This window comes from Homo sapiens, chromosome 8 (genome assembly GCF_000001405.40).
Source record: "Homo sapiens chromosome 8, GRCh38.p14 Primary Assembly".
Lineage (NCBI taxonomy): Eukaryota > Metazoa > Chordata > Mammalia > Primates > Hominidae > Homo > Homo sapiens.
The window spans coordinates 30555581-30574319 of NC_000008.11; the positions used below are offsets into that span (position 1 = coordinate 30555581).

Consider the following 18739-nt stretch of genomic DNA (forward strand, 5'->3'; position numbering starts at 1 on the left):
GTGTGTTTGTGTACACATACGTTTTCTGCACATGGCATGAAGAAATGTGAGGGGCCGCTGCCTTGCATGGAAGGCCAGCCCTTGTCACATTATTCTAATGGGGAGCCCTAAACTAGCCTGCTGAACTGTTTGGAGAGGACCTTGACGCAGGCAGTCTGGAGGGAACTGTAGGTTTCCCCGTTAAGAAGAATTGTAAAGCAGCCCTTATGGGATGGGCAGGAGTGACCTGGGGCCAAAAGCCCAGCAGAACAAGCAGCCCGAATGGGGCTAAGAGAGAACCCTCTCCTCATTACCCCCACACAGTGATTAGCGCGGAGCAGCTTGTTCCCCCCCACCGGGCCGGCTGCCCGAACTCTGCTGTGCACCATGAGCCCTGCCGCTCTGCCGGCTGTGGTGCGGGAACCTGGATGAGCCGCTCAGACTTGGCCAGGGGGGCACTGCCCTCTGCTGGAAGCTGGGCGCAGCGGAGCCTCTCAGGCTGGAAGAGGAGGCAGCCGTGGGTGTCTGTGGATGCGGTGAGAAGAGCCCCCCACTTGGCAAGCACATAGTGTCCTAGCCTGAGACACAAGAGCAATGAATTCAGGGGTCTGTGTGTCCGCCACCCGCCACCACATCCACTCTGAGGAGCAGCCACCTATTGCATCACTGGCGTCCTCACTCCTCAGCTGAGCACAGCCTCCCCTGGACCCCACAGCTCGGAACCCGCCTTCATGTCACTCTGGAGTGCGCCTCGACCAGGCTGACGAGAGCCTGAAGACGGGCTGCACGCTCGTCCCCAACCCTGCAGGCACCTGTGCGAGTGAGAACGTGAGGGCTGTGTGCGAGAGCTGGTCAGAGAGGCTGGGGCAGGGCTTCCTTCTCGCAGTCACCTGCACCGAAAGCAGAACCATGCCATCCACTGTGCAGCTCTCCTCCCCGGGCAGCCCTCCCCCTCCTGTGTCTCCTGTGAAACACCGTCACGTCTTGGCCTCGTCGGGGCTCAGCGCCCCAACCCACACCCAGGCCGCACCAGTCACACCACTGCGCTCCACACTGACCCAGTGCACACAGACCCATCACCCTCTACTGTGTGTTTAGGTGTCCAGCCCCCCACCTGCCATGGGGGCTCTGTGTCCCCGCCCCGTCCTTTCCCACCTGTCTCAGGAAGGCAGCTCCAACTCTGCTCTTTGCTTAGTGAGCAAGTGGATTCAGATGCACCAGGCCATGAGCCGTGGGTAGGTATGAGTTCTTTCTTCTCCCCACCTCTGCCCTCCCTCTCCTCCCCTAGACTCTTCTGTCCCCTTCCCTGCCCGCCCCTACCTCACCCCCATCTTCCCCACTCTTGCCCTCCTTCTTTTGTTCTGAACACACTTCTAATTTCCCAGAGGAGTGTTTTCTAGCCTTCCTGCCTGGGAAAAGTTTCTGACCCTTGTCCCTGTAATTGCAATGAGTGTTGGGAGTGACCCCAGCCCTGCCTTAAATGAGCTTTGGTACCTGCTGGTGGCCCTGAGGACAGCAACTTTGCCTTTCCCTGATACTGGGGACCCTGCTCTAGCTGGTCATCTGATCGCTGGTCATATCTGGCATGGTCGCCAGAAGAGACCCAATGCACAGGCAGCCTGACGGAGTCGTGGTGCAGGCAGAAGCTCCGGTATGTCCTAAGCCTGCGTTTCCTGACTCAGGCCAGCGAGGAAAGAACCGCTCGTGAGGAGGCCCATGGGGAGGAGGAGGTTCCCAGGCCGCCTTGTGCTCGGACCAGGGACAAGGTCGGGGTGCTGTGTCGGATTTCTCTAGGACCCAATTTCTAGACATCCCTGCTTTTAGAATCAAGTTAGGGGATCTCGTGGGGCCTCATCCTGGATTCTGACCCCACTGGGCTCTGTGACCAAGGTCATTGAGAATCCCCAGACTTCAGCTGGTGCCCACACCTGTAAAACAAGGAGATGAGGCAGGAGCTTTCCACCAGTCCCTTCAGAGCCCTGCGTTGTGCAGTGCTGCCTCCCAGACCCCCCTGCACCTCCATTTCAGCCAGAATGGCTCTTGCTTCATCACTAAGCTTTGGAGATCTCAGTAAGTCCTCCTCTGCCACCCTGCGGGAGGGCATCGCCTCACCTGGCCCCACAGGCCTCACCTTCTCCACTCCCAGCAGCACTTCTGGGCTGCTCATGGTGGTCATGGGGAGACCATGCCGCCTCCATGTGAAAGGAAGAGCAGTGGGAGGCGGGCATCTCTTGCCTGTGTCCAAAAACATGTCCAGTGATGGATGCCGTTAAAGACAAACGGCGCTTGCCCTTTTGGGTGTTTTTTGTTTTGTTTCTTGTTTGTTTTGAGATTTTCATTCATTGCCCAGAATGGAGTGCAGTGGCACAATCTCAGCTTACAGCAACCTCCCCCCTCCTGGTTCAAGCGATTCTCCTGCCTCAGCCTCCCAAGCAGCTGGGATTACAGGCATGCATGCCCACGCCCAGCTAATTTTGTATTTTTAGTAGAGATGAGGTCTCTCCATGTTGGTCAGGCTGGTCTTGAACTCCTGACCTTAGGTGATCCGCCCGCCTTGACCTCCCAAAGTGCTAGCATTACAGGCGTGAGCCACCACACCCATTTTTTTTTTTCATGTTTTCCTTGGCATAGGACCTGGAATATGCTGCCAGGTGGGCAAAGTGTTGCTCAATGCACCTGTGTTTGCGGCTGGCCTTCCACTTTAGAAAGCTAATGGAAGAGACAGGGCTGCTGGTCCCAGCTGGGAGGCTCCTTGCTGAAGGCTGTAGGCCCATCTCCTCAGTAGGGTGAACAGAGGGCCTGGGGTACCAGACACACACAGTGCCAAGAAGCTGGAACCCTTTTTTTAAAAGAACAGGAATAGAATCGCAAAGTAGTCCTGGCCAGGCCACTGGTGTGGATGGGGTCGTGAACTGCCCCTTCCTTACCAAAGCAGCTATGTTTCCACACTCTGCTTAGAAAGCCATTAGATAGCCTTTCACCAGCCTAGGCCTGGGAAAAGGAATTCGCTGTGCCGGATCTTAGCCTCAAATGGCTGCTAACCTTTAAAAGGAGGATGAGAGCAGAGGAGTTGGTGGAACCTCGGGCACTTCTCGAGGTGGGTGCTTTCCTCAGAGAGCTTGCCTGTGTGTTCATAATGGTGTGTGGAACGCCTCTCAGGACACCGCTCTGATGCTTTTCAGCCCCTTGGGGAAGAGGCCCTCACAGGCTAGTGTGAGTGGGTACCATCTTGGAACAGTAGGGAAGTGGTAGCCAAGCAGGACCCTCCGTGAGAATGGGGATATGCTGGGGAGCCCTGGCTCACGGCCTTCTCCCATGTCTTTTCAGATGCGCTGGCTCCCTCCCTCCGAGGCTACTTCTCAGGGCTGGAAGTCCCGTCAGTTCTGCTGAATACTATGTAAGTACTCGCTTTCCTTTGGAATGTGCGAAGCCCCTAGAACACATCTGTACATGGTGGGTGCGCCATGAACGCAGCTCTCCTCCTTTCTCTGCACCCACACCTTATGCACCTCCTTTGTCCATCTTTGTTAAACTCACTTGAACTACATAGCAGTGCATCTTTTCCGAGAGGAAATTTTCACCTAGGTACGGGTGCTAGTCTATTTGAGTCTAACTTAGGAAACCAGTACCTGGCCTCCCCACTTAAAAATAAGCAGTCAGTGCTAATTTCTGTAGAACAGCTGTCAGAACATTTTATTACCTAATTGTAGTTCACCTGCTGCCAGCATTAAATCAAAACCTTAAGTTGCAGGAATAGTCATCCACTAATTTACACAGTAGTTGATTATGGGAGATTTATTAGAATGAGTTTCCCTGCATACATCATATCCAAAGTACTAATCGTTAAAAAATACCTCATTTTCCTACCAAAGGTGCAGTGCACAGTTCCAGCAGGCTTTCCTTTAAGGTTTTCATCATGAAGGAAGCACTATCCTAAATGGGCATTTTTGTGCCATTTTAGGCCTAACGTTGCTTCAGAGAACTACCAAATGCCTTTTCTCCATTTCTACAAAATACCAAATGCCTTCTGTAATTCAGAAATTCTGAATTTCTGTTAAGTACAAGGCACTGTTCTTCTAAACTCTAATTTAGTATGTGAATTTGGAGAGTCTACTTAGAGTTAAGTTTTTAGAATGTTTTAGTTCCACCATCAGTCTTCTCTTGGTTTACACAGTTCCTTCATGAAATAGGAAGAAAAATGAGAAGAGGGAGGGGCCTGATCCTCATGCTGTTAGAAATGCTAAAGAGATCATGGCAAACCTGTGCACCTGATTTTACAATAGTGTCATGGGCCTTTCCTTGGAGACTTCTATTGTAAGATAAAAATACTTCCAAACTAAACTAGTGTTCTTTTCTTTTTGTACCATTAATACTGAGTCCATATGCTTTTGTTAGATCATTTGAAGCCATTTAGATAGACTCTTCTGGAGAGGCATTCTGTGGAAAGAACAGGCCCCTGGTCAACTTAGATTCCACTTAATGGAGAAATGTTTCAGACCTCTCACAAGAAAAAGACACTAGAGCTGAACTCGCGCAGGTCAGTGCCTGTCAGTGAAGAAGAAAGAGAGCATTGAATAAGATTTTTAAAGAGTGCTAGGGTTTATTGTGCACAGGTAAGTTGCCCTGTTGACCTGAAGTCTCGGTTGGTGGGTCAGGTCACCTTCAAGATCTGGGAGGACTGCTGAGTGTGGACTTCATGTTTGAAGTTCTCATCACGCAGGAGGCCGGCCCTTTTGGATGAGCTCAGGTCCGAGTCAGAAGACCCCTTCTGTGTTCGCAAAGGAGAGGTCTCAGCAGACAGTAGAGAGATGAGTAATGGGCATGAGAGTGTCGGAAGCCCACAGACGATTCTCAGAGCAGCCAGTCATAGCCCAGCAGCCACCTGGCCATTCACAGCTCTTTCTCTGATGGCAGGGATAGGAAAGTTGAGAGAGAGCGCTCTGTGCTTTAGGACATCAGCATCAGGAAGCTAAAATTGTATCTACTCTTCCTCTAACCCAATGTATTTCATATTTTAACTCAAATACTTCATATTCGAGTGTGGCCAAATAATAATAGTCCTCAGGGGCAATCGCAGGTGAAGTACACAAATCCTTCCAAGGTCAGTGAAACAAATTTCTTTACCCAAAGATTCTCAGAGCCTTTATTACCATATGAACATCATGAATATTTAAGAGGAGGGGGCTCTGGTACACGGTGTTCCTCAAGCTTACTTGAAACCAGGTCATCCTTTTTTCACAGAATCTTAGGAGACTAATGTTTCATGCCTGGGGGAACCATATCCTAACCTCTTAGCCAGAAACGAAACCAGAGGCCCCCATATATAGAGATCCTTGGATGAGTATTCATGTGTGATACTGCTCATTAATCTGTGATGATATTTAAAACCCCAGACAATGTAGTAGCTTTTCTTGTACTACTTGTTTGTCCCTTATTCTGAAATTACATGTCGTGTGTGTGCGCGCCTAAGTATCCTTTTTAAATGGTAGTGTTAGGAAATGGTAATTGTCTCTTAAATGTCCTTTATTAACAATTCATGATAGATAAAATGTTCTTTTAAAATGTTTAATTATTTTGTGAATTCTAAAAGTTTGCTTTTTAGGAGAGATTTTTTTGCTCCAGGGAATACCATTCTTAAGCTATAAGACTATATCTGAGATATAGTCTAGGGTCTATGAAGTCCAGAATTTTGTAAGTCCATGTTTCGTCTTCATATGCCCATAATTGACTTTTAAATACAGATCCCAAAGCCTTACTTATTTGGTTGCATAGGAACCTCCCCGTTACCATGGTGCCCAGCACTGCCTTACAACTCCAGATGGCACTGAGCGGACCCTGCTGTGAGCAGCTCCCTATTCCATGACAGTGTGTTGAGCTCTCCATTGTCAGAGGCTGGTAGGGTGTTCAGCTAGAGGTGCCGAGGATGAGGTAACTGGAAATTCTGAAGCGCACAAGAGAAGGCATGGCTTGAAACACTGACCTGACCCTCAGCATAAACTGACCGTTGAGGAAGTTGGTGAAACTGGAAGAGAGGCCCCTTGCCAAGCACATCTGAGAGCCAAGAGTCAGCAGAGAAAGAGCAGCCCCCAGAGAGTGGAGAGCGGGCTGGAGAAGCAGGGTGCGCCGGCCACTTCTGTCAGTCAGATGCTTCAGGAAAGTCAAGCATGGTGAGAGAAGACCTTCAACTTGGCAATTTCAGTTGGTAGAGAAGTGGGCAAAGGATGTTGGCCTGGGACCTAAGGAAGGGCTTTTTTCCCCTTAAGAATTTATGTAGGCCACAGAGAAGACATCCATTGTGAAGCAGTTGCGTGGGTTCCAGTGACAGAGATCCTGGGTTTCATTTGTATCTGCTCACCTAATTTTTTTCCAAATCATTTCTCACAGACCCTTCAGCAATGGCTACTAGAAGGACGAACAATTGCCCTCCTTTGGAAGTACGGCTAATAGAAGCCCTAGATCCGAATAAGATCCGAATAAGAATATGTAATGGACCAGGCGCAGTGCCTCACGCCTGTCATCCCAGCACTTTGGGAGGCTGAGGCAGGCGGATCACTTGATGCCAGAAGTTTGAGACCAGCCCAGCCAACATGGTGAAACCCCGTCTCTACTAAAAATACAAAAATTACCCAAGCATGGTGGTGGGCGCCTGTAATCCCAGCTACTAGGGAGGCTGAGGCAGGAGAATCGCTTGAACCCGGGAGGCAGAGGTTGCAGTGAGCCAAGATCATGCCACTGTACTCTGGCCTGGGCGACAGAGCAAGACTGTCGAAAAAAAAAAAAAAAAAGAGTATGTAATGTCTCCCGTGGATGAATCATTTGTTCTGAGCTAAGCTTGGGCCATGGGCCAGACTCCTTCCTCGGAGCCTGTGGGGAGCAGGTGAGGAAGGAGTATGGATAATGGTGCCCGTTACTCCTGCACGCGGGGGAGTCTAGTCTCCCAGCCCATCTAAAGTTAGACTAGCTCAGTGCGGATCTATTATTTCAGCTCCTTCTAGTCTCTTGGATCAAGTCCTTTCCAAGATGGCCCATAATCCAAGCTGTGTAATCTTAGGCAAATGTAAATTAGAATTGGAAACAGTGGTGCTGATGAGCTAATATAAACATTTTTAAACCAGAACAAGTCAAAAAGGCCAAATGAAAGGCGCATACCATTCATTGGCAGAGGCCCACATGGCTCTCTCCGTTCGGCGGGGAGGGCTTTCTTCCCCATCTTGCTTTCCCAGCACGGAAAGAACAGAAGACGAGCAGGAGTGATGCCGTCCTTCCAAATCCTCAAAGGCCAGCACTCCCAGAGGTCCTTCAAGGATTTTTCATTTATCTACTTGGACTTCTTAGTGCTAAAGAGAAATCAGTGACTAGACTAGATATGTAAATAAGAACTTTATTCTCTAGACAAACATTTGTTGTGTCTGCTGTGTCCAAGATACAAAAATGAAAAAACAGGCCTGTGCCCCTCAGGAGCTTAAGTTCTAATGGCAGAGAACTGTGGACACATGTACAGGAGAGGGAGTTACTGCTCATGATCCTGCAAGACCAGCTTGCTGTGAGGAGAGCCAAGCTGAGGGCATGTACAGGCCATGTGCATGCTGTTCCTGTGGCATAAGCAAGGCCATCAGGAGAGGGGGGGTCAGAAGGGGACAGGGTGTTACTGGTGTTTTAATTTGCTCCGCCTCTTGCTGATGGATGGTGTTGAGTTTAGTGATGCAGACACAGCCTGTGGCCAGAGTTTTGCTGATGGTTCAGCCATGTGCTAGAGAGCCCAGAATACAGAATCACGATTGAAAATTGTCAGTTTCCCAGATACACTGAGAACAGGCGAGCATGAGCAACGCTGCTGTCACTCCTTACATGCAGTGAGAGTGAGGCAGCTTTCTTTGATGGATATTCAAAGAGTTGAACTGTTCTTGAAAGGGAAGAACCAGCGTTTGGGAGCCAAGTGGGGTGTAGGGGGACGTCTTCTTTCAGGACTCTTGAAATTTTCCTGGCCATGGACCGGGACCAGAGCCCAGAAATTATAAGCACATGTAGTTACAGCCTCCCCAGATTGGAGAAGGAAATGCAAGAGAGAACGTGACGGAATTTGGAGCTATTTTTCCCTTCTCTTCTGTTTTGGGTGGAATGGCCTTGCCTGTCTTTGGCTGTGAGCTTGAGTCATCCTCAGTAGAGTCCCAGGTGCTGGTGCCCAGGTGGAGCTTAGAGCTTAACAAGGAGGAAAGGCACTGGGGCTCCAGAGGCCCAGACAGCTGCGGTGGCTCCTGCTGTCACGCTGGCCTCCCCTTAGAAGAAAGCCACCTGTCCATGTCATGCTATCACACTGCGGTGCACCCACCAACCAGTATGAGGCTGTGAGGTCTGCACATCACACCTAAGGCTACTAACGCCGTAACTGTCCGTCATACCTAAGGCTAATACGGTGAGCAGCTGCAGCGTCCTGGGGAGGAGATGGGTAATAGGTAATCAAATAGACATAATAGTTTGGGTGGTGATAGTATTCAGGGAATAAATAATAAGGCCAGGTAAGCAGCTCAGTGTTGTGGTACGGCCAGCACTTCTGGTGCCTTCTGCTTCAAGTTAGCAAAGCAGGCAGGGTCCGCCTGAGAAGGTAACATCTCAGCAAAGACCTAGAACTTCACCAGCTTTATACGGGGTTTCTTTTTCAGAACACATTCCACTTTAGTGAGGCTTGGAAAATATTTAACTCCTGTAATCTTAAAGTAAATGGACTGGAAGTGCAGCAGGCTTGGCTCCCACGCAGCACTAAGGAATCACTGGGAGAGTGTGCAGGGCCCTCCTCAGAGACCTTTCTCTGTTTTCCCAGTGAGGAGACGCAAGCCTGGTTCTGCAATTCTTTCCAGCTCTGGAGTCTGTTATGGTTCCCATCTGAGCTCTAAAGGTAGGGGTGGGCCTGAAGACCCTCCACACTGTCAGTCCTGTGGACGTGGTGGGTGCCCCTCTAGCCACCACTGTCCTCCGGACTGTGCCACATCACAAGCACTTACCGAGCTCCTCTACAAACCACGTGACAACCAAATGCAGTGAAAACTGCAGCCCCCCAACCTGCTCCTGCCCATTGTGTTTTCTGTGGATCTGTCTGGAGTCCTTGGAGACTCCTGAGCATGTGCACTGGCAGAGCTGCCTGACTCTTCCCTGGAAGAAGTTCAAAGAGGGTAGCCACGTGTTCAGACCAGGCCATGGGGTCTGGGGGCTCCGCGACTCCTGAGAGCAATTCCTGGCCGGACTCTGGCTCATGTTACTGCCCCCACCTCCCCCCGCCCAGGTAAACCCGGGGGTGCAGACAACTGTTGTTGAGGTCCCAGGAGCGGGTTGTCCCCTATGCTCCTGGGGACATGGAGGAGAGGGAGGGTCCCAGGATCCCAGTACTTGTATGAGTCGCACTGATTAGCTGAAGCCCAGAGGCTTCTTAATCATCCTAGAAATACAGCCTCCCGGGAAATGTGGCCTGGCTCTGCAGCTCTGGGTGGCTCGTGCTCTCCCTCCTGTGTGGAGGGGTCCTGGAGAGGTTGGGTGAGCTGATTGATAGGTTTCATGTGCAAAGATGATTATTTTCCTGTTCTCAAGTAACCCAACTTTTGCTAGGAAACTAGAATCATCTAATGTTGCATAGTGAAGTTCTGGGGAAAATGTTTTCTTCCTTAAATCTGAGGAGAGAGATGTCCTAGGAAGGTAGTCTTCAGGCTCACTCTTGATTCCAGAGCTGGGTTTCAGCACACGCAGTCCCCTCTCCCTGAAGAGTCCTGGTGGGACCACTCGGAGGTGCCAGCTGAGCCAGTGCCACCTTTCTGGGGAACCCGGACAGTCCGCAGCAGTATGTTATGCACTCCAGTTCTCATAAGCCTCGCATACTGGACACGGCCTGTCTGCAGGGAGGGAGATCTGAGAAATGTTAGTGGGAAATAGGACCGCTGGTGTCCACATGCAGGGAGTTGGGCTTCCTTCCCTGGCACTGGAATCCTTGCTGTAACCAGCCGGCTCAGAGGCAGCCGTGCCTGCAGGGGGAGTATTAGAAACTGATTCTTTGCTAGGTCTTTGCACCTTCGTATTTCAAAATTCTCAGACCCTAGGGTACAAGTAGCCAGATATCTTCACAAATGTGCATCCTTTTAGTTTTTGTTTTCCAGGAGATGCTTGGAGCAAAGTTTAGTCCTTGGTGCCTGTGACAGACAGGGATTTCCTATGGCCTTGGGCTGACCAAAGCTGCTCAGCTCCTGGAGGTGGCTGTTTCTGGATCTTGCTGTGTGGGGGCCTCAGGTCCCATGCCTTTCCTCTGCAGGGCCTTTGGACAGTCCTCCGGGTCTAGGCCACAGCCCTTGGGATGCAACCACAGGGACGTGGGTGTAGAGTCCTGCTTGCTGGGCCTGCAGCCTCCTAATGCGCCCTCAGCGAAGAGTTCACATGCTTTTCTTGGAATGTCCTTCCTCGCTGGCCCCCAGAAGCCTCCTCTTACTTGCTCCGCCAAGTCCTCAGTGCGTTTTCCTGGCTGAGAGCTTTTCATGTCGCATATCCAAGGCCATTCTGCAGCAGCCTCTGGTCCTCAGCTCAGCAGCAGAGGCCTTTGATCTCTTTCGGCGTTGCCTCTCTTGGCTCTCTGCCCTCAGAACAGGCCGGTCTTCAAGACCGAGGCAGCCCCAGGTGGAGGTTACTGTGCACCGTTAACGGGTGATCTTTCTCCATCCCAGGTCCCAGGTGTGTGATGGCGGCTGCAATCTGTCTTGTGGGTATTAATGCAATCTTCAGTGGTGGCTACTGTTCTCTAGCTGTTCTACAAAACTGGAGCATGCTGGTGAGTAACAGTCAGGGCTGAACAAGCCCTCAGGGGCGGCATGGCGAACACGTGGGAACTGTGGGCCTCTGGGGGTGGGGTCTGGCATTCCAGGTGCTCGTGCCCCTCCACCCCAGGTGATTCTGCCCGGAGCTCTTTAACATCTGCTCCAACACGGCCTGCCAGGGAAGGTCATCCCAGGACAGCAACTGATACATTTTTAAAGCCCATCACCCCAGTATTTGGTGCTCACCATGTCCTCCTTAGGTAAGGCTGGCACCATGAACATCTGGCTGTCCAGTGGCACCTGGAGTGAGGGATTCCACCTAGGGAAATGTTACTGAAACGAAGCTTTTCCCTTTAAGCATCGCCTTTTTTGGGGGGAAATTATTATTTTGTTGGAAATCTGTTTCAGATGTAATGTGTATATCCCCCCATCTTATTAATCCAGTTATACTGCATATGATCAGCCATTTGATGACTTAGGGACATAGGATAATTACCCTGGAGCATGACTGAATCAGAATTCACAATTAATTTCTCCAGACTGTGGGCCTCTTAGTAGTTCATGGTTTTAGCTTAGTAGTTCATGGTTTTAGTGATCTGTCTTTTCAGTCGGTATCACCTGTCACTCCTCAGTTCGTTAGCTACTAGCAGGAAATGTAGTCTAAAAAAAATCCTCCTGTAGCATTCCCAGAGGTGACCTTGCTGTTGGGTCTCTGGAAAGCCTGGCTTAGAGCGGCAGGAATGCCAGGGGCGAGTCTATGGTGGTTTATGTCTCAGCCTAAATAAAGCGGCAGGCTGCATCCCTCTGAGGGGCCTATGAAAAAAGAGGAGTCTGAAAGGAACAAGATTCCTGCTACAGAGAACCAAGCGCTTCTGGCCAAGGAGGTGGGGTCGCATTTGAGGGGCTTAAGTCACTTCATACTCCGACGATACCTCTCAGTGCCGACCCAGGAGCAGGCATCAGGTGTGTGCCACACTGGGCGACCCACCTCCCACCACCCCAGAGAGCTTTCCCACAGGAAGCCGGACCCTGCACTTTGGGCATTTTTCCCAGGGTGCCTGTTTCTTGCACTAACCCAAGCTTTTTTCACATCACATAGGGCAGCTGGGTCTATCCCACTAGGCCCACGGCCTTCTAGCTTTTCCTTTTGTCAAAGCTCTTAATGGTCATCACTCACTCAAACTTTTTTAAAAGACATGATTTTGTTCTTCCTCCTGGGGATATTTAAAAACCAGTTAAGCCACTTGCACATTTTTTTCCACTTATGCAATTTTTGAATGCTGGTTAGACATGATTTTAAATGCAGCAAGTCAACCAAAGTATCAACAATGCAAGGAGCAGGAGTTTTCCTGGTAGGCCACGGAAGGGCCTAGTGGCAGGAGACAGAAAAGAGGGGACAGGTTTGGGTCACGGTCCTGGGGGCAGCTGAGGATCAGGTTGCAAATGCCCCAGATGTGCCTGAGAGAGCGGCAGCAGCCAGCATGGAGGGGAGCAGTGGCGTTCTCAGCACCAGTGTGTTAAGGTGGGGCTCACAATTTCTTGGGGCCTTCCCTGGGTTACAGCAGCGAGTTTGGAGGGGGCTTTTCTCTTCCCAAATCTGAGGTCAGACAACAGTGCTTATGTGACCTACCCTTGGAGGGCAGAGATGGGCCATTCTCCATGGGCCCCCAGGGCTGGAATGGAGTTCCAAACTGCAGAAGACCATGCCCCTAGAGGCTCCAGAGACCGTGAACTTTTTCAATGACACGTTTGAAAATCTATTACAAATTAATATCAGTACCTGATTTTTTGAAGATGAAGCTGACAGGTATTAAATGAAAACGGAAGCACTCTTAATTAGGAACCTTTGCCACATGATGGCCCATGTTTATTTGGAGTTGGGGGGAGAACATTCCTTATCTGACTTGGTAACCAGGAAGCCTTAGAAACTCTTGGGGAAGGAATCCTCAGGAATTAGGTCAAGGAGCTGCAGATGGATCAAGGGAGGCTTTCCTCTGGGAGAAAAATCTCCCAAGGCATCGGACCGAGACCCTGACTGGGTACGAAGAGACCGCAGAGTGAGGGGCAGGCAGCGGGCATCCTGACCCCAGGCCCATCTGTCCCCACGTTCTGAGTTCCACCAAAGACCCAAAATGCAGTGTTTTAGAATTGTGTAATATTCCTTAAGAGACCAAGAGACATCCTCCAGTGTCTTCAAACTGGGACTGTTCCCACTTACCTGAGATAAGGAGATTTGTTCCCTGTCTTGACGTCCCATCACCTGTATGTCATAGTCGGCCCCTTCCAGGAAGGCCCCGCGAGGAGAACCTGCTCCTAATCAGAGCCTTATGCGTTCCCAACCCTGACCCCGCCATCCATCCCTCCGTGGGGCTGTGTTCCCAGATGTCTTTGGATTCTGTTTAAAATGTCCTTGTTAAGACATTCCAAGGTTTGAACTCCGCTCCTAGCTAAACCTCCTCCTTGTTTACAGGGACTGAAATAGCCACATTTTGACCTTCTGTTCAGTCTGGGATCATCTGTGGTAGTGTGACTACATTCCTTTCCCATGCAAGGATCCCATTTACATGGCAGTTATGGAAGGCCCAGAAAACCAGACTTGCTCCCGCCCTCCTCCTGCCTATGTTCCTTCTCCCTTCAGATTAGCCCTCCTAGGCAGCCATTCCGCCTGCTCAGGGGCTGGGGCATTGGGAAGCTGCGTGGTTCATTACCCAGGAAAGCTGGAGCCACCATATCCCCCTCATCAGGGCTGCAGCTACCCATGGAGGCTCAGGGTGCCCCTGGGCTGGTGTACAGAACCCAAAGTTGGTCCCCTGGCCTGCTCCCAGGCCAGACACCATCAACCCCAGGGGCCCATGTCTCAGTGCCACATGCCATAAATGACCCACCACTCCTGTTTTGTGTGTCCTACAGTCTAAGTGTCTGAATGGAGGGTTTGCATTTGGGCCACCTGCAAGTGACTGGGGTTTGAGGAGAAGGAAAAGGTCTCAGGAAAATAATGCAGGATGATCCCTGTCAAAGCTAAAGTGGCCTGGTCAGTGAGAACCCCTGTGAGGAGCTCAGAGGAGGAAGCCCTTAAGATCTCCAGAGGCATGAGTTCTGAAAGACAGTGTGGCCTGTATATGCTGAGGGGACTAGTAACAGAAGAGAGGAAGTAAGAACAGGCACGGCACGCTCTGCTGAAAGTAGACTGCGGCCAGGCTTTTGAAGGCCTTGAAGGATGTGTTAGGGATTTGGAAGCCACTGGAAAGATGAGCAGGGGTGGAGAGTGATTTAGGAATGTTGTTGTCATGCTGCCCAAAGCAAAGTAGATGAAGATTCGAGGTAGAAGCACACTTCTGCACAGGTGGCCCTAAGATGGTGATGGTGGAGTGGAAGGAGCAGATGAGCCAAGAGGACAGGAAATGAGGTCGGTGTAAAGGGCAGGGACAGGCCAGGGGTGCACAGGGATGAGTCTGGATTTGGCTGCCTTGAGGGCTGTCTACAGTAAGCATACTTAAGCGGATGTGCTAGAACTAATGTCATTATTTATTTGCCACAACCTAAAGAGACAGGCAAGTATTAGTCGCCCGTCACAGAGAAGGTCCAGGGTGTCCAGGGCCCACTGTGGAAAGCTCTGCCTGGCTTGCCCCTGCTCCGCCGGCCGTTACCCGCTACCCACTCATACTGTCGTCCAAAAACTGGGCAGTGAAAAGTCACAGGTCAGATACAAATTGGACAGATTTGGTGTGAACATTTACAAGCTCATCCCGTACGCTATGTTTCAGTGGTCACCTAAATATTCTCATTTCAGGACTTTTTAAAACACATTTTCCCAAATCTAACTTGGGACAAAATCTAACTTGGGACATTTAAATAGGTTATCAATAATTATCTGTTTATGGCCTCTTTCGGCACACAAATAAGCATCTCCCTGTACAAAATTCTAGTGTATGCTGAGCTGATTGATTGCCTTCTGCATACACCTTTTCTACAACTTCTCAAACGTGTGTGACATGCTGGTAAGATGGCAGGAAAAGGAGTGACTGAATAATACAATATAGCTGAGATGTGTTTCAAGAAAACCTCTGGGCCAGGGTAGGGGTTTGTGAGCGGGAGCCAAGGACTTGCCCCATGTTTCTAATCAAGGTGAGACCACTGACACATGTGGTCAGCAAATATGTTCTATACACACATCCGCACACTGTCATCTAACCCATCCGTTCTCCCATCCACAGCATCTCCAGGACAAAGCCATCGCAACTAGGGAGGGGTTGACACCTGCTCTCCTAACATGTTTTCTTTCTGTTTCAGGCTTGAAAAACCCTTGCCCAGTTTTGATCCCTTCAAGACTTTGTCACAGCCTCTATCACACATCTGTTTTTCTCGAAGAAAAAAATATAATTAATAAAAATGTTTTACTCTTTTACACTGTATAATTGTAAGAAATAGCGTATTATTTGTGAATGCATGGTCTGAAATTTCTGTACAGTTTGGAGATATTTTCAAACGAAACGTAAGAGAAGTCAACAATAAAACCAAGAAAAGTGAGTATTTTTATACCAAACATTTTAAGTATGCTGGGATGGACGATCTTACACTGGTTTGGATCACAGTTTTTGTTCTTGACTTTTGAATGCTTGTAATTAAAAATATCTATTTTTTTCCTCTGAAGTAAGTTGCATGTTTGAGGCATGTTTCCAAATATTATCAAAATATCCTGAATTGTATTGTGAATATATAGAAATCTGTGCCTGGCCGGAGTCCAGGGTAAATTAGTAGCATGGTGTTAGATGTTAGAAACAGAACTGTTATTTGCAGTGTTAGGTCTAGGATCCCAGTTCTAGTAGGACAGCCCTGCAAGACAATCAACCAGAAGCCTCCAGGAGCTTCTACCTATGGCTTATTCACAACTGGGCAAGAAAACATCATTGGTAAGAACTGCTGAGTGTGCCCTTAGAAAGCCCTAGTAGCTCCAGCTGTGACTATATCAACTGTGTGCCAAGTGTGACTTTGTACAGTTTTATGTTTCCACTCTCCTGTATGTGTAGCCACTCGATGCCTAACCTACCTTCCACAAGCCAGCCCCGCATCCCTGCTCCCGCAGTGTAAGTGCAGAGCCTGCCTCACTGGTAAGGGAAAACCTTGGCTTGGGAGGCCAGCCCTGGCCCTTGAAGGGGTTGGCTGTGCCCAGCCCACCTGGCTGCAGTGGGCAGCTCATGTCTGTATCTCCAAAGTGATGTTTGTTTGCAAAACACCGGCTGAACTGAGCTGGTGTTGCCAACTCTTGGCAGCACTGGGCCAAACCGACCACATACCATGAGCTCCCAAATGGCGTGTGCTCACTGTGAGACGTCCTGCCACACCCCACAGGAGACGGAGGCAGTGGGCATTTGGAACCAATTCTATTCAGACTTCGTCAAAGCCAAAGTCAGTCTGGTGTTGTCAGTTGACACATCTCCAGAGTTCATGACAGCTCAACCTCTCCCCTTGTACAGAAGCCATTTTTGTAAAACCACACTGACCTAAATTCAGCTGCCAAACACAGTCTTTCCTATTGATCCGCTCGGCTTATGTTGAAAATTTCAATGTCATGATTACCTGGTTGGTTTGGGTTTTTGTTTTGTTATTTTCCATTAGAAATATAAAGATGTCAAGAAGCTTTTAAAGGTCAACACAAAAAACCAAGGCCAGGAGTGAGGGGCTCTTTCTTACCGTAAATAAGGGGAAAAGGCAGTTAGCTCAAGGACTTGTGACGGATCCACTTTGGTGTTCAAGGACCTGCTTATGCCCTCAGTGCCAATCGGCTCTTGGTGAGATGACTGTACTCCTAAGGAAAATAGCCACTTCTGCAGTCTATTATGCTTTTATAACTGTTTAAAGGTACTTTTCTATTGTCATTTTTAAAAAATAAAGTGCTTATTCCAGCTGTCACACCATTGCTTGACAAATTCTTTTTTAGCAAGACCAACTACATGTATCCCACACTGCAGACAAGACGCCAGCAGATTTCATTCCCATTGTCAGGCTTCGGCAGAGCTAAGCAAGCATTGGCCATTGAGCTTAGGCACAAAGAGATTAAAGGAGGAAGCAGATACCGGGGAAAGCCAGAGAGTAAGTCTGCAAACGCACAACCACAGTGGCTGGTGACCCACAATGACACCAGAGGCAGAGGGACCTCAAGGGAGGCCCCTCATCTACCTCAGCCTACAAAGCTTGACTCAGGATTATCTGAATTATATTAAAATGTCACTTGGGTTTTCTGCTGACTTAAATATATCTTACGCCAGGCATGGTGGCTCACACCTGTAATCCCAACACTGGGAAACTGAGGCAGGAGGCTTGCTTGATCCCAGGAGTTTGAGACCAGCCTGGACAACACAGCAAGACCCTCAATTTTAACATTAGCCAGGAGTACTAGCACCTGTGGTCCTAGCTACTCGGGGGACCACAGAGGAAAGACAACTTGAGCCCAAGAGGTCGAGGCTGCAGTGAGCCATGACTGCTCCACTGCACTGAAGCCTCGGCAACAGGGCAAGACCCTGACTCCAAAACCATAAAAAATTAAAAAAAAAAAAAAAGTGGAAAACCAGGCACCAATTGCCAAGAGAATCGTGTTTTATATATACTCTCACCTACTCTTTTTTCCCCCCAAAGGAGAAAGAAAGCAAAAAAAAAAAAAAAACATCCAAGCAGTGGCAACAACCACTACTGAGTCTTGCTGGGTACTGAGATGACCCGCAGTGAAGCTCTCACAGCCTGCCTGCAGAAGAGCCTAGCCACCAAACGTAGGTTGTGTCCACTGCCTTCCAACTTACGTAACTGTAGAGGCCAAACGCTTTCCTGGGCCCAGGCTTAGAAGGCCACGCCAGCATGGCTCTCAGGCCCGCCTGATCTGCCTTTGGTCCACCTGTGAGCTCCAACTCATAGGCACCAGAGATTGGCCAAACAGCTAAGGAATGGAGGCTAGTGAGCTCTTAAGGGGTTTTGCTGCCTCGGGACTGCCCGGACTCCATCCCAGCCAGTCACTGGCTGAACACAGTCACCTATGATTTTTTACAGGGGGCCCTGGGATGGATGAGCACCCCAATCTTCCCCATGCTGATGATAGTCATTCATGATGTGCAAGTGACAAGTCTGGATGGTATTTACTAATCTAGTGTGACCTCCAGATATATTTCCACTCACCAGCCAGATACCAGCTTCATTAGGGTCTGTGCGAAGTTACCCTTTTTGTCACTCTATTGAACAGGAAGGAATGCAGTATGTCTTCTGGAATCAAGAACTTGGAATACGAAAAAGGCAGGCTGTTTGCTCTTGCTCCCATGCAAAATGTCCCAATTTGTAGGCTCCAGAAAGATGGTAACTAAGCCCATCTTTTTGTGTGATTACCAAATGAACCCTTGTTAATGTCGAACTGATATAACTATAAAAGTGGCATCTGAAATTAAATACCATGCTTTCCACGTCTATAACAAAATTACAAATTAAAGGAATGTGAAAAGAACCTTGCAGTTCACAAAGTGAACGCTACATTGCCAATTAATCACACCTGGGCTTCAGACTCAGCTGGACCCAGGGCATGCACATGTCTCCACCCTACTTTCATGGACTAGCTTGCAATTGTTATTGCCCCATCCCTGAATTCTGCGTTCCAATACACAAGAATTCTTGGTGTCTGTCAAGATGACATAAAGAAGTAAGGTTTTTTTTAAGGGACGGGGTCTCCAGACTGGAGTGCAGTGGCAGATTCACAGCTCACTTGCAGCCTCGAACTCCTGGACTCAAGCCATCCTCCTGCCTCAGCCTCCTGAGTAGCTGGGACTATAGGCGCGTGCCACCATGTCCAAATTCAACTAGTTGTTTCTGAGCGCTTTGGGCAAGACATGATCTGTGCTAAGAATATGGACAGGTTCCCAAAAGCACTCTCACCCACCCAGATGGAAGGTTCTGGCACACAGTTGCTCTCCTCTCCAACTCTTAAACCATTCTCTCCA

The 18739-nt window shown here is 49.4% G+C and overlaps 1 protein-coding gene across 16 annotated transcripts in view, besides 4 other annotated features; it reads left to right on the plus strand.

The window, feature by feature from the left end:
* Positions 1–16676, plus strand: part of RBPMS (RNA binding protein, mRNA processing factor) — a 187716-nt gene extending 171040 nt beyond the window's left edge. For 3 of the 16 annotated variants that reach the window (XM_017012980.3, XM_024447054.2, XM_017012985.3), the window contains 3 exons: positions 1078–1214; positions 3307–3376; positions 6364–8791. In XM_017012980.3, coding sequence (XP_016868469.1) covers positions 1078–1214; positions 3307–3376; positions 6364–6423 — 267 coding nt within the window. In that variant the 3' untranslated portion in view covers positions 6424–8791. The other 13 variants (NM_001008711.3, NM_001008710.3, XM_047421278.1 and 10 more) reach the window with 11 other exon arrangements.
* Positions 831–890: a silencer, noted in NCBI's record as "silent region_19077". NCBI's record gives its function as "represses an Ori minimal core promoter by ATAC-STARR-seq in GM12878 lymphoblastoid cells {active_cell/tissue: GM12878}" and the evidence as "EXISTENCE:reporter gene assay evidence [ECO:0000049][PMID:35858748]".
* Positions 2542–3043: an enhancer, noted in NCBI's record as "H3K27ac hESC enhancer chr8:30415639-30416140 (GRCh37/hg19 assembly coordinates)". NCBI's record gives its function as "activates a minimal SCP1, AML or CMV promoter by ChIP-STARR-seq in primed H9 embryonic stem cells {active_cell/tissue: H9 hESC(primed)}" and the evidence as "EXISTENCE:reporter gene assay evidence [ECO:0000049][PMID:30033119]".
* Positions 3044–3543: an enhancer, noted in NCBI's record as "H3K27ac hESC enhancer chr8:30416141-30416640 (GRCh37/hg19 assembly coordinates)". NCBI's record gives its function as "activates a minimal SCP1, AML or CMV promoter by ChIP-STARR-seq in primed H9 embryonic stem cells {active_cell/tissue: H9 hESC(primed)}" and the evidence as "EXISTENCE:reporter gene assay evidence [ECO:0000049][PMID:30033119]".
* Positions 9217–9825: an enhancer, noted in NCBI's record as "H3K27ac-H3K4me1 hESC enhancer chr8:30422314-30422922 (GRCh37/hg19 assembly coordinates)". NCBI's record gives its function as "activates a minimal SCP1, AML or CMV promoter by ChIP-STARR-seq in naive and primed H9 embryonic stem cells {active_cell/tissue: H9 hESC(naive and primed)}" and the evidence as "EXISTENCE:reporter gene assay evidence [ECO:0000049][PMID:30033119]".